General features: G+C 45.8%; 1 protein-coding gene and 1 long non-coding RNA gene across 4 annotated transcripts in view; one reads left to right on the top strand and one right to left on the bottom strand.

The window, feature by feature from the left end:
- The window catches only part of LOC105370902 (uncharacterized), a 32278-nt gene extending 25502 nt beyond the window's left edge, over positions 1 to 6776 (bottom strand). For all 3 annotated transcript variants that reach the window (XR_932482.2, XR_001751804.2, XR_932483.2), the window contains exons 1-2: positions 6688 to 6776; positions 3547 to 3710 (exon numbers count right to left, since the gene is read on the bottom strand). This is a non-coding gene — a long non-coding RNA (uncharacterized LOC105370902). The remainder of the gene's footprint in view (positions 1 to 3546; positions 3711 to 6687) is intronic.
- PTPN9 (protein tyrosine phosphatase non-receptor type 9) overlaps positions 1 to 14287 on the top strand; it is a 116065-nt gene extending 101778 nt beyond the window's left edge. The window contains exons 10-13 of the mRNA NM_002833.4: positions 3771 to 3849; positions 6708 to 6858; positions 7539 to 7746; positions 8555 to 14287. Coding sequence (NP_002824.1) covers positions 3771 to 3849; positions 6708 to 6858; positions 7539 to 7746; positions 8555 to 8769 — 653 coding nt within the window. The 3' untranslated portion in view covers positions 8770 to 14287. The remainder of the gene's footprint in view (positions 1 to 3770; positions 3850 to 6707; positions 6859 to 7538; positions 7747 to 8554) is intronic.
- The last annotated feature ends 187 nt before the right edge of the window (positions 14288 to 14474 follow it).

Below are 14474 nucleotides of genomic sequence, written 5' to 3'. Positions count from 1 at the left end.
CTGCACCTTCCACTTCCAGGGCTCAAGCGAGTCTCCTGCCTCAGCCTCCCAAGTAGCTGGGATTACAGGCACCTGCCACCATGCCTGGCTAATTTTTGTATTTTTGGTAGAGACAGGGTTTCACCATGTTGCCTAGGCTGGTCTCGAACTCCCGGCCTGAAGTGATCTGCCTACCTCGGCCTCCCAAAGTGCTGGGATTACAAGCATCAGCCACTACGCCTGGCCTATATTTCTATTAATGATGTCATCTATTGAGAAGACCTATTATATATCAGATGCATAAATGCTATCTAATTATTATAGAGACTCTGCAAGGGAGGTTTATTAATTTATAGATGAGCAAACTGAAACCCAAAAGTTTACGTGACCTTGGACCATGCAGCTAGTAAGTGGCAGAACCAGGGTTTGAACCCATGTTTGTTTGGTTCAGAAGTTTTTACAAGCCATGTCTGTGGATTGTTTCACCTATGTCAGTATAAACTGCTGACTTTATTTCTTGAGAGAAGTTTACTGTTAAAGGGTCTAAGCTGGGAAGTACAACTTTCCCTTCTTAGTATCTCTCTTGAGCCTGTGAGAAGTTTGCCCAGCCCCAGTCTGGTAACTGAGTTACCATATGCTCTGACTGCTCAGTACTCCAATTCTGCCAGTGGTCTGAATGTGGAAAATGAAGTATATGAGAGTTGCTGTGGTGCAGGAGAGTAGGATGTGGATGAGGCTGAGGGTCAGAGATGTGGAAAAGGTGTCCTTACTGTCTTCTTGATGTGTATACTAGGGTAATGCATGTCCATTGTAGAACATTTAGAAAACAAAAATAATCCCTCATAACCCTAGGACCCAGAGATAATGTTAACATTTTACAGCATCTCCTCCTAGACCTTTATCTATGCATACATGCAGATATAGGCATACAAAATATTTAACCAGGCCGGGCACGGTGGCTCAAGCCTGTAATCCCAGCACTTTGGGAGGCCAAGGCGGGCAGATCACTTGAGGTCAGGTATTTGAAACCAGCCTGGCCAACATGATGAAACCCCCTCTCTACTAAAACTACAAAAAGTAGCCGAGCGTAGTGGTGCATGCCTGTAATCCCAGCTACTCAGGAGGCTGAGGTAGGAGAATCGCTTGAACGCGGCAGGCAGAGGTTTCAGTGAGCTGAGATCACGCCACTGCACTCCAGCCTGGGCGACAGAGTGATACTCGGTCTCAAAAAAAACAAAACTAAACTTTTAATTTAACCAAATGTGCTCTTTCTATACTATCTCTTGTTTCATTTAATGGTATCTGTGAATACCTTTCCATAGCAAAAAATACAGCTCTTACAACATCAACTTTATAGACTGTATAAATTATGGTATGCTATTATTTATTTATTTATTTTTGAGACAGGGTCTCACTCTGTCACCTAGGCTGGGTGACAGAGTGGTATGATCATGGTTCACGATCATGGCTCAATGCAGCCTTGGCCTCTCCAGGCACACACAGGTGATCCTCTCACCTCAGTCTCCTGAGTAGCTGGGACTACAGGCATGTGCTACTACACCTGGCTAGTTTTTGTATTTTTTGTAGGGACAGGGTTTTGCAATGTTGCCCAGGTTGGTCTCAAACTTCTGGGCTCAAGTGATCTGCCTGCCTCATCCTCCCAAAGTGCTGGGATTACAGGCGTGCGCCACTGCACCCCACCTGATACGTCATAATTTAATTAATCCTCTCTTATTGGATATTTAGTGTATTTCTAAGATCTCACGTTTTTGACATCATCCACTTCTGCAGAGAGGGTATTCCAGTATCATGTTAGTGCTTGCTAAAAGACTTAGCAATAAGGGTAGTAGAACCAGCAGACTTCTAGACCAAAATTAACCATTAGTACTGCCCTGCTTTCCTGAAAGCAGAGAGGAAAGAAACACCCAGAAAGTATAAGGAATTATCTTGAGTTGTTACGTTTTTTTTTTCTTGAGATGGAGTCTTGCTGTCGCCCAGGCCGGAGTTCAATGGTGCGATCTTGGTTTAATGCAATTAATGCAACCTCCGCCTCCTGGGTTCAAACAATTCTCCTAACTCAGGCTCCCGAGTAGCTGGGATTACAGGCACCTGCCATCGTGCCCAGCTAATTTTCATATTTTTAGTAGAGACGGGGTTTTACCATGTTGGCCAGGCTGGTCTCGGACTCCTGACCTCAAGTGATCCACCTGCCTCGGCCTCCCAAAGTGTTGGGATTACAGGTGTGAGCCCTGCGCCCGGCCGGTTACTGTCTTGATCAAAGTGGAGTTGGTAGCCCACAAGTATCTTCAAAGTTATTGCTGAGTGCTCAGCCCTGAGTGCTCAGCCCTGTGCAAAGGAGAATTTGGCCAGGTGCAGTGGCTCACACCTGTAATCCTTTGTCCTTAGGACCATGTTTAGTGAGATATCATTAATTCCCACAAAGTAAAATAATGGATGGAAGAGTATATAAATTAAATGGTCAACCTGTATAGATCCAGCTGTGCCATCAAAAGCAAAAGAGAAGAAGCTTCACAAGGAATGCGGTGGTCAGAGAAAGCTTCAAGGAAGAGGTGGCACTTGAAAATGGGTAGAAAATGAATAGCATTGGAGGTGACGGAGACAGCTTGAGCGAAAGAATAGAGGCCAAAGTGAGCATGGTGTGTCTATGTTCTGATGAAGTAATTTTTAAGAAAGATTAAACTGGTGGGGTTTCCCAGAGTAGATTGGAAGGGAAAAAGGCCTATTCAAAAAAGTAGACTAAGAGGGTGTTACAGTAACTTAGAAGATGACGTGGTCTTTGTGTCAGTGAAATCGAGCAGGAAGAACAGGATGGGGAGAAGATGAGGGCAAAAGAATAAAAACCAAAAACATTTCAAAGGTAAAAAATCTCTAGGATTTGGTGACTGACTGCTTCTGGGAGATGAAGGAAATGGGTAAGTCAGTGTTGACTTCACCTTTTTAAGACTGAATGATTTAAGAATGCTAGTATTGTTAACAGAGATAAGAAAGTTGCAAGATAAAGCTAATTTTTTTTTTTTTTGAGACAGAGTCTCGTTCTGTTGCCCAGGCTGGAGTGCAGTGGTGCGCTCTTGGCTCACTGCAACCTCCACCTCCCGGGGTCAAGCAATTCTTGTGCCTCAGCCTCCCAAGTACCTGAGACTACAGGCATGTGCCACCACACCTGGCTAATTTTTGTATTTTTCATAGAGATGGGGTTTTACCATGTTGCCAGGCTGATCTCAAACTCTTGAGCTCAGGCAACCTGCCTGCCATGGCCTCCCAAAGTGCTGGGATTATAGGCATGAGCCACTGCACCCGGCCAAGATAAAGCTAATTTTGAAGGAGGAGACTTAGTTACAGACATAATGGATCTGAGATTATGGGAAACAGAAGGTTAATGGTTTAGTAAGCAATCTGTGATTATAAAACTGAAGCTTAGGTGAGATGAAAACAGCTAGAGATTCTTACAGTTTGACACTGTCAGCCTGGATGTGATGGCTGAAGTTCTGATGATTAAGACTCTGAGAGGGTATGTAGCAGTGCTTCCCAAACCTACCTACGACTCACCTGGGGATCTCGTTGACATGCAGATTCATGTTTCTTACACTCTCCCATACGATGCTGGTGTGATTGGTCCACGGACTATACTGAATAGCAGGGATGTGGAAAGATGAGCAGGGAGCTAACCATCTATGGTTTGGAGTTACCATTGGGGAGTAAAACAGAAGCGCCTACAAAAGAAAAAAAGTGTTTCCCAGAGTCATGTTTCTTGTCTTCTCCTTTTATTTCAGGTCCTTTGGAGAATACCTATCGTGATTTCTGGCTCATGGTATGGGAGCAAAAAGTCTTGGTGATTGTCATGACCACCCGGTGAGTTAATCCCTTTTTTCCAAAGGTCTCCACCTCCACTCTGTCCCTAGGCATGGGTGATTAAAGAGGGAAGTTTAGCTTTTAGAAATAATGAGGGTCAGCCTGGCACGGTGGCTCACGCCTGTAATCCCAGCACTTAGGGAGGCCAAGGCAGGCGGATCACAAGGTCAGGAGTTCCAGACTAGCCTGGCCAGCCTGGTGAAACCCCGTCTCTATTAAAAATACAAAAAATTAGCCGGGCATGGTGCCTTCTCTATTAAAAATACAAAAAATTAGCCGGGCATTGTGGTGCGTGCCTGTAATCCCAGCTACTTGGGAGGCTGAGGCAGGAGAATCACTTGAACCCAGGAGGCAGAGGTTGCAGTGAGCTGAGATCACGCCATTGCACTCCAGCCTGGGCTACAGAGCGAGACTCTGTCTCAATTAAAAAAAAAAAAATTGAGGATTAGGAAAGCCAGGGCAAAGATTTTGAGATATCTCTTAGCTAATCCACAACCCGGGTATGGTGGAGATGAATAGATCTAACTTGTTAAAGCTTTAATCCCTGGCTCTGGCAACCCTGTGCCAGTTATACCCTATTTTGAGGTCCTGGCCTTATCCACTAAAGGAAGTTCTGGGAAACATGGGACAATTCTCCTTTTATCTGTTCCCTATTTCCAGAGGGGTGCTGCCTTCCTGACTCCTGAATTACCAGATTCCCTTTGCTCTCCATTTGTTGCTACTTTTTTTTTTTTTCTTCTGAGATGGAGTCTCACTCTGCCACCAGGCTGGAGTGCAGTGTGGCACGATCTTGGCTCACTGTAACTTCCGTCTCCCAGGTTCAAGCAATTCTCCTGCCTCAGCCTCCCGAATAGCTAGGATTACGGGCATGTGCCACCACGCCTGGCTAATATCTTTTTTTTTTTTTTTGGAGATGGTGTCTTGCTCTGTCACCCAGGTGGGAGTACAATGGCTCGATCTCAGTTCACCGCAACCCTTGCCTCCTGGGTTCAAGTGATTCTCCTGAGTAGCTGAGATTATAGGAACGTGCCACCATGCCCAGCTAATTTTTGGATTTTTAGTAGAGATGGGGTTTTACCATGTTGGTCAGGCTGGTCTTGAACTCCTGACCTCGTGATCTGTTGCCTCAGCCTCCCAAAGTGCTGGGATTACAAGCGTGGGCCACTGCGCCTGGCCAGGAAGATTTTATTTTATTTTTATTTTATTTTATTTTATTTTATTTTATTTTTGAGACGGAGTCTCACTGTCGCCCAGGCTGGAGTGCAGTGGCGCAATCTCAGCTCACTACAGGCTCTGCCCCCACCGGGGTTCACGCCATTCTCCTGCCTCAGCCTCCCGAGTAGCTGGGACTTCAGGCGCCCGCCACCTCGCCCGGCTAATTTTTTGTATTTTTAGTAGAGAAGGGGTTTCACCGTGTTAGCCAGGATGGGCTCGATCTCCTGACCTCGTGATCCGCCTGCCTCGGCCTCCCAAAGTGCTGGGATTACAGGCGTGAGCCACCGCGCCTGGCCGGAAGATTTTAATGAAAGGAATATTTTTGAAATTTTGGTCTACAAATCTGGCAAATTTAAGGAATAACCTATTTCAGATGAGGAAGGAAAAAAATGAATGTGAATGTTAAATTCCCTTCCTTAGCACTGTTATAACCACCACTTATTTGGAGAGGAGGTAGTGGGAGAAGTTCTACCTTGGAATACTTTGGGGCCACTGGAGGGTGGCAAGGTAGATTTAGGCCTTTTTTTTTTGAGACAAGAGTCTCACTCTATTGTGCAGGCTGGAGTTAAGTGGTGCGATCTCAGCTCACTGCAACCTTAAGTGGTGCGATCTCAGCTCACTGCAACCTCCGCCTCCCAGGTTGAAGCTATTCTGCCTCAGCCTCCCAAGTAGCTGGGATTACAGGTGCCCACCACCATGCCTGGCTAATTTTTGTATTTTTAGTAGAGATGGGGTTTCACCGTGTTGGCCAGGCTAGTCTCGAACTCCTGACCTCAGGTGATCCGCCACCTTGGCCTCCTAAAGTGCTGGAATTACAGGCATGAGTCACTGCGCCTGGCCTAGGCCTTTTTTTTTTTTTTTTTTCTTTTTTGAGACAGAGTCTCACTTTGTCATCCAGGCTGGAGTGCAGTGGTGCCATCTCAGCTCACTGCAGTCTCAACCTCCTGGATTCAAGCAATCCTCCTACCTCAGCCTCCTAAGTAGCTGGGACTACAGGTACCCACCACCATGCCTGACTAATTTTTGTATTTTTAGTAGAGATAGGGTTTCCATGTTGCCTGGGCTGGGACTTCAGGCTTTTACACAAACCTCCTGCTAACATACCAGTAGATGTGTGTTTATCAGTTTATCAGAGAGTTCTCTCTGACCTATCATATTTTCATATTTTCTCTACTCTTTTTTTTTCTTTTTCTTTTTCTTTTTTGAGATGGAGTCTCATGATGTTACCCAGGCTGGTCTCAAACTCCTGGTCTTAGGTGATTCTCCTGCCTAAACCTCCCAAGTAGCTGGGATTACAGGCATGCACCACTATACCCAGCTACTATACTGTTTTTGTCTCTGTTCACCCAGTATTTATCCCACATATGTGAGACGTACTATTGCGTATTAGGAAAAAGACCAAATGCTGTAGTAAGTGCTCAGTAACTGTCTGCTATATGAGTACATGCAGAAACTTTAGCTGTGAGTACATTTGTTTAGAATGAAGAGGTTTCCTTTCCTTTCTGCTGAGAATCAATGGTGTAAGTTAGAAGCAATGCAAGAGATGATATTGCTGCCTGGGGGTATATCAGGTCTTTGGGGAAGCCAGGTTACTGCTGTGGAGAGGAACGATGGAAGGCTTACCTTGCTCTGTGTGTCTTCAGCTTTGAGGAAGGCGGCAGGAGAAAGTGTGGCCAGTACTGGCCTTTAGAAAAAGACTCTCGGATCCGATTTGGCTTCCTCACAGTGACCAATCTAGGCGTGGAGAACATGAATCATTATAAGAAAACAACGCTAGAAATTCACAACACAGAGGTAAATCCAGGTTTCTTTTTTCTCACCTTGTTGAAACAGGGGGAGAATAATTACTGTAATGAAAATCTCCAGAGGGAATAGGTAGGATACCAGGGAAGTTATGAGTTGCTTCTGTTTTTCTAGGGACAGGATGAGGATATTTAACTCACAGCCAATATAGCCATATTACTGCAGCACGATAGGAACATTAAATAGGAGTAAAGCTTATAATTTTAGAAATCTGGGGCTGGGTGCAATGGCTTAGGCCTATAATCCCAGCACTCTGGGAGGCAGAGGTGGAAGGATCACTTGAGCCCAGGAGTTCAAGATAATCTAGGCAACACAGTGAGATCCTGTCTCTACAAAACATAGAACAAATTAGCTGGGCATGGTGGCACAAGCCTGTGAGGTCAAGGCAGCAGTAAGTTTGATCGTGCCACTGCACTCCAACCTGGGCAACAGAGTGAGATCCTGTCTCAAAAAAAATTCTGGATCTTACAGTATAGGAATTCTGCCTTTTCCAATTAACCAACCCTTCCTTTGGGTTTGTAGTAAAGAAGCAATTATGGGAAAAGTTGACAGTGGTGGATAGGAGCCTTGGTGGTAGGGATAACCAGGGTGTTGAGAATCTGGAAAAGCCAGAGGTAGCTAGGGGCAGGCAGAAATAACCTTGTTAACGTTTACTTCTTTTCTTATCTAAGGAACGGCAGAAACGCCAGGTGACCCACTTCCAGTTCTTGAGCTGGCCAGACTATGGTGTCCCTTCCTCAGCAGCTTCCCTCATTGACTTCTTGAGAGTGGTCAGAAACCAGCAGAGTCTGGCTGTGAGCAACATGGGAGCACGCTCCAAAGGGCAGTGCCCTGAGCCACCCATTGTGGTCCATTGCAGTGCAGGCATTGGCAGGACAGGTAACGCACCTAATGCAGCTCTTGGTGTCTGCAGGGGCAGTAGGGGTGGACGAGGAAAAACAAAGCTCTTAGCCCACATCTGTGATTGGAGAAGGAACTCACTTGCTCCCTTGGTGGTGAATTGCTGTGAAAAATCCCTCATCTAATGTCCTTTTGGTGGACCAAGTGATGGCCAGAATATATATTTCACAAGCCAAGTCCTCTAGGGGTTGATGTTTTATACACCCCATCATAACGCTGACTCTGTCACCTGTTAGAACTGTCACTGCAGGTATCCCAGAGAGCTCAGCTGGGCTGCTGCTTCCTTCCCATCCAGCCCTCCCTGGAGGGACTCCCCACCCTGTGCTGTGTTCTCCATTCTGGAGCCAGTTAGCAGCTTTTGCCTTAAGGGCATGTACATGGTAGGAAATGTTGGCCTTTCTATTTCAAAGGTCCCTTTGGGAGAAAGTTGAGAATAGGTTTTTGTTAGGCCTCTGAAAAACTTGTGGACTCTGGAAATTAGGTGTGGGAGTGCTGTCAGTCTGTCTGTCTGGGATTGAAGCAGGAAGTTCCCCTGTGTCACCTTCCCATTTCCACTTCCTGTTACCCCAAGTGTATGTCCTGAGAAATAAGAGGCCTTCTCATTTCTCTGGCCTCCAACACTCCCTGTGACCTCCTTCTTGAGTCCTTTCAGGCCTAAGGCCACCTGGCCTTCTGCCATGAGGCACTTTGCCTGTGAAGTCATTCATTCAGTTCTGCCTGGGTTATTTGGTAGAGGGAGGAAGAGAAGAGAGGTAAACCAGATGTGATCACTTCCTTCCTTCTTCAGGTACCTTCTGCTCACTGGACATCTGCCTGGCACAGCTGGAGGAGCTTGGCACCCTTAATGTGTTCCAGACGGTGTCACGCATGAGGACCCAGAGGGCCTTCAGCATCCAGACCCCTGAGCAGTACTATTTTTGCTACAAGGCCATCCTGGAGTTCGCAGAGAAGGAGGGCATGGTATCCTCTGGCCAAAACCTGCTGGCCGTGGAGAGTCAGTAACTCTCCTACGAACCTCCTACCTGTTGGCCAGCCTTCCTTAAACTACCCTGGACACCGCTGAGCCTATAGGTTGCCATCAGTTACGCTGAAGCCATGGATCAACTTCTTTCTTGTGTCTCCCAGCACACGTGTGCACGCAAGGCAGCCTTTCCCTTTGGCTAGATAAATGTGGTGAAATTGCCACTAGAAAGGGCCAGTAGCAATGTGTTCTTAATTCCTAGCATCTGCTATCAAACTGTGCCTTATTAAAACCAAATTGTGGCTATTGATTTTTGCTAGGGTCCCCGAGGTAAGTGGGGAAGGAACCTCCCTCCTCCTTTCTCCCGCCATTCTTTTTCTGAGGTCTCCTGTCTCCCACTCCTTCCCTTTCCTAGGATTTTATGGGGAGGTTTGATGAGCATTTGCCTTTCTCCCCAGAGAGCTTGACCAAGTTACATATTCTAGAGATCGTCCTGAGTGCCAAGCACGTTTATAAGTAGGGCGTGTATTCCAGTCCTTTCTGTCATTCTGTGTGTGTGTGTGTGTGCACTTATGTGTATGGGTCCATATGTACGTGTGTATATAATATATATTGTATGTGATAATATGATCGTATTCTATAAATACATATACACACGATACTCCTTTCCAGAAGTTCCTGGGGCTCCGTGTTGCAGTTCAGGACTCCTTGCTTCTTGGACCCTACTATTTATCCTGGACTAGCTTGGGTTGGTGATCATGTCTCCTCTTGTCAGGCTACAGAGTGGTGGAAGAGGACACACACACATCTCCTCCATGTTCCTGCCACAGGGCCCCTTCCTTAAGTAATGACTTATCTCCTTCCAGTTGCCACCTGTTGGAGCCAAGAATGTATTAGTTTGTGGTGACACTGGGTTAGCTCAGCATGGATTTCCCTTATCCGATGATTTTTCTACATTTACTTGGCCAATTTGGGGAACAGACCTCCACTGTGATTCCATACTCTCTCTTTGCTTTCACTATCCCAGGGATGGGAGGCGGAGGGTAGAGATGAACTCACTGAGCAGCCAGAGCCAAATGCAATCGGTACGAATCTTAGAAGGAAGGAGGGGGAGCCCAGGTATGAGAAAGAAAAAACCACTAAGAAAATACCTCCCTGGGAGGATGAGCTGGGGCCCTTTTTCTTTTGCTGGATGGTTCCTTTATGCAGCTTGGCCCTGTCTACCGAGATGCCCATCTCTTCCTGCCTGCTAGCCTGCTAGACCCTCAAACTGGGTGGGTTCTGTGTCAATAAAAAGCTTCACCCCCTGGCTGAGTGAGGTGGTCCCCTGCAATCACTGTTTGTCCCCTACCCACCCAACCTGTCCCTGCCTGCTCCCAGCCCACTCATCCTTATGTGCTAGGGATAAATCAAGAGTCCTCAGCACTCCACATTCCCAAAAAATCCCAGGAACTCCTAAACCTTCCCCTGTGACAGAAGATGAGGTTGGCAGCTGATCAGACCTCAATAATTTTATACTGTAATAAGCTCTTTGAATGTGTATATTATTATTTTTTACAATCATTTCATTTTGTATTTAATATCAATGGACTGAGTCTGATTCAGAAAATAATTGTAATGTTCATATTCAATATCTTACAGTGATACAGTTTTGTATTTACATATAAATATACCGACATGATCAAAACCCTTTTAGCTTCATCAATTTAGCAGCCTGGGACATGAGGGAGGGGGTCCAGGAGCTGGTCTGGGAGGGATGAGGGAGGCAGGGAGGGACCCAAGCCTTCAGTATCTGAGACTTTGAGTTCTGACACTATGAGTTCACCTTGTCTGTAGGCCATGGCCCTATCTCTGGACAGAGGGACCAGCACCAGTTCAGTGCTTGAGATGTGCTAAGCACTATGCTAGGTGCTTTTCCCCCACCCTGCCTCATTCAAACCTCACAACAATTCAGTGAGATATTATCTTCTCTCCCTTCTCCTGTGCACCCCTTTCTCATTTCTATATAGATGAGGAAGGTGAGGTCCAGAGGGTTACAGTGATTTGCTCTAAAACGAGCTCAAGTTGGTCTGCTTACAAAGCCTGTGGTCTCTTCACTGCATGGAAGATGGAGATCTTGTGTTTGGAGAACAGAGGTTTGTTTAGCTCTCCTTTCAGAGTAAAAAAAGTTCTTAAATTCCAGGTTGTTGTTCTTGTGCCCATGCTTCATGTAGTAGACGCGAAGGGTGACAGGGTTGGTGACTGACTGTCCTAGCTAGGACCTCCTGATGTAGGGTCCTCATGTCTGCAGCGTACCAAAGGGGTTATCATTCTCCCCAGGAGACTCCATATCTATGGGTACATGGTCTTTGTGAGAAGATCTTGAGTCATTTGCATTTATCTCTTAGAAAGAAAGGAACCAGAAGCTTTGTACATGGAAGACCACTCCCCATATCATACCTGTTGGCTGTTGATGGCCTGCCCAGTTGGGGCAGTTGTGGCTGGGAAATATTGGGGTGTTCTTAATAATAGTCATAGCAGCCAATTTACTGGATGCTCACTCTATTCCAGGCACTGTTCAGAGTAATTTCTAGGTATCATCTCATTCACCCTCAACAACCTTTTGAGGTAGGTATTGACAGAAGAAAAAAATTGAGAGACAGGAATGTTAATTTGCTACAGCCAGGATCCCAGACCATCTGACTCCAAAGTATCTTCTTTCACCTCTTACACTAGACTTCCTCTAAGGATCCATCTTCTGATCTGCCAATAAATTTTTATCGAGTTTCTTACCATAATCAGGAGCTCAAGTGTAGAGCAGAAGATTAATCTAGTTCCTTCTCCAGATGAGCCTCCATTCTCTTGGGAGTGCACAAACATAAGAAGTGAACAGAGATTCTTGGAAATCTGAGAAACCAGAGAGGTCAGGGGTTTGGTGGAACATGTAAGAAATGGGATTAATGATAAACGGCCTGGAGGAGGTAACTTTAAATTGTCATTTATTTGAAGAGGCTGTAACCCGACTGCCCTGTGAATTTAAGGTTATGCATGAGTTCCTCATTGCATATCTGAAGACTGGTGAGGTTATCTATCACTTCAGCTCCATAAAATGCTGATTTCTGGGCCCATCCAGTAGGTTGTTAGTGAGTGACAGGATTATCCAGGTTTGGGAACCATAGATTTAGTTCATGTTTCTGACCCTATAGAGAGTTAACAAATTGATGTCTCCTAAATTTTCAGTAAAACTCAGAGGAACTCCTCCCACTGCCATTGTTTGTAGCTTTTACCAGCGTGAACCTACCTGTGTTAGGTGTTAAAGGAGGAGGTAAAGGAAAGGGAAGGCAGAGACGCAACCCAGAATCTGTTTGGCAAGTCAGGGTTCTCATACAGGAGACTTAGTGAACAAAGCAAGAGAAAATGCTCAGGGTCCAAGTGCAGTGGCTTTATGCCTGTAATCCCAGTACTTTGGAAGGCCGAGGTGGGCAGATCACCTGAGGTCAGGAGTTTGAGACCAGCCTGACCAATATGATGAAACCCCATCTCTACTAAAAATATAAAAATTACCCGGGTGTGGTGGTATGTGCTTGTAATCCCAGCTACTCGGGAGGCTGAAATGGGAGAATCACTTGAATCTGGGAGGCAGAGGTTGCAATGAGCCGAGATCGCGCCATTGCACTCTAGCCTGGGCAACAAGAGTAAAACTCCATCTCAAAAAAAATAAATAAATAAAAAAGAAAGACAGTGTTCAGGAAAGAAGAAAACACTGAGCTAAAGCAGGCTTCTGCTTCTGATTTGATGGCTGTTTGTTTCACCTTTCTCTAACATTCCCATGCTATATAATTTTTCAAACATGAGATAATCCCTGTGTCCTTTTTCCCATTGCTCCCTTCATCTTGCCCATCCTCATTGGCTAGGATGGGACTCCTGAGACGAAGGGTGCCCCAGCATCCTCAGCCTCGGAGGCCCACCCTTATCAGTCTTCATGTGACAGTATGCAGGTAAATGACAGAGTAGGACTTGTTCTTGGGAGAATGGACTATTTAGCATCATAGCCCTAGGGAAATTTGGTTCCTTCCCTGAAAGGAATGCTTCCTGTCTCTTGGGACAGACAGACACACATACAAAAACTTTTATAAATCAGAGACCTAGAGGGAATTGGGCCAAGAGGCATTGGCCAAGTAGAAAAGCTTCTCTAGAGTGACCCAGCTCTTTTGTGGTTTTGAGGTCTTACCACTGAACCAAACCCAAGTCCTAGGTTCCCTCTGTAAAAGAAGGGGCTACACTAGATGATCCTACCATGGGTCCTCTGACTGTCAGGGTCCAGTTCTTTGTTAGACAGTGCAAACACCCATAGAGGAGCTATTAGGCCTTTACTTGGGTTGAGTTGGCTCCCACTAGCACTCCCCACTTTTCATTTTTTTTACTTTCAGAGACAGAGTCTCACTCTGTTGCCTAGGTTAGAGGGGAGTGGCATGATCATGGCTCACTGCAGTCTCAACAACTGGGCTCAAGCAGGAACCCAGCTTTTTTTTTTTTTCTCTCTCTCTCTCTAGAGACAGGATCTCACTATGTTGCCCAGGCTGGTCTCGAACTCCAGCCTCAAGCAATCCTCCTGCCTCGGCCTCCCAAAGTGAGAGGATTACAGGCATGGGCCACCACACCCAGCCTCTCCAGTTTTAGTGTGTTTTCAGAGTCTCTTCTTTCAAGCTGCTGCTACTTCCCTAGCTTCCCTCAGTTCTCTTCCCCCTTGGCCTTCCAATTGGAGGAAAAGCAGGTCAGGTCTCTGTCATCTCCAAGACCAGCCTATAGGCCTTTAAAGTTTCCCTGTTTCTTAATGTGGGGTCTACAGGGTTTCTCAGAGGCAAAGCATGAACAGACCAAGGGTCCTATAGCTCCCAACCTAGTCCTTAGATTTCTCTCTGGCCTTGGTTACTCCCACAAACCACTGTGAGCCTACCAAGGGCAGGAATGGAAATGCCCATCAGCCTGGGAACCATCTTTTTCTCTTAGGAGGTATCCGCCCTATAGTTACCTTTACACAACACTTGTGAATATCAAGTGTTCTAGACTGCACTGTTCATAATTGACTACAGAGAAGACTAGGATCTTCTCCACAAATAGAAATATATCACTTTTACTTGGAGATGTTTTCTTGGGGGAAAAAAAATCTAGCACCTTGAAACCTGTTACAATGTTTAAATCTCCCTTCTTTACCTTGGCTGTCATAAAATCCTCCTGTTTGAGCTAAATGTGGCCTGCTGAAGTCTTAAATGCCCATATTTTTCAGGCTAAGGCCATGGTGGACATAGCTAACTCCACTAGAATCCTAGCTGGGGGTGTTGGAAAAAACGGTACAGTGCCCCTCTCAGACTCCAGGCTCACGTCCGTCTCCCCTCCCCGCACATTATAATCTACTACTTCTCTAATGCTGCTGCGTAGTTTGTCTTAAAGCCTCAAGACTGGCCAGATGTGCACCTGAGTAAAGGTCAGCCATTTCATCTGGGGGCTCTTTCTTGACTTTTAATGAATTTTCTTCTGTGAAAAAATGTATTTTTAATAAAAAATTTTCTGTGGCCAGCATCCAGTGGAAGTCTGGAGTCTGATGTGCAGGGCAGATACTGGTCTGGAGATGTCAGTTTAGGACTTAGTTAGACAGAAGCAATGAGCCTTGAAGTGAGAATGAGGAAGGCAAGAGAGGAGATACGTTTGGATGTCACCAACATTTAGGTAATGGGCGGAGGAAGAAAAGCTGCTGAAGGATACTAAT

The sequence above is a fragment of the Homo sapiens genome, chromosome 15 (genome assembly GCF_000001405.40).
Source record: "Homo sapiens chromosome 15, GRCh38.p14 Primary Assembly".
Classification (NCBI taxonomy): Eukaryota; Metazoa; Chordata; class Mammalia; order Primates; family Hominidae; genus Homo; species Homo sapiens.
The sequence above is the reverse complement of the archived record's forward strand: the minus strand, read 5'-3'. Positions and strand labels throughout refer to the sequence as shown.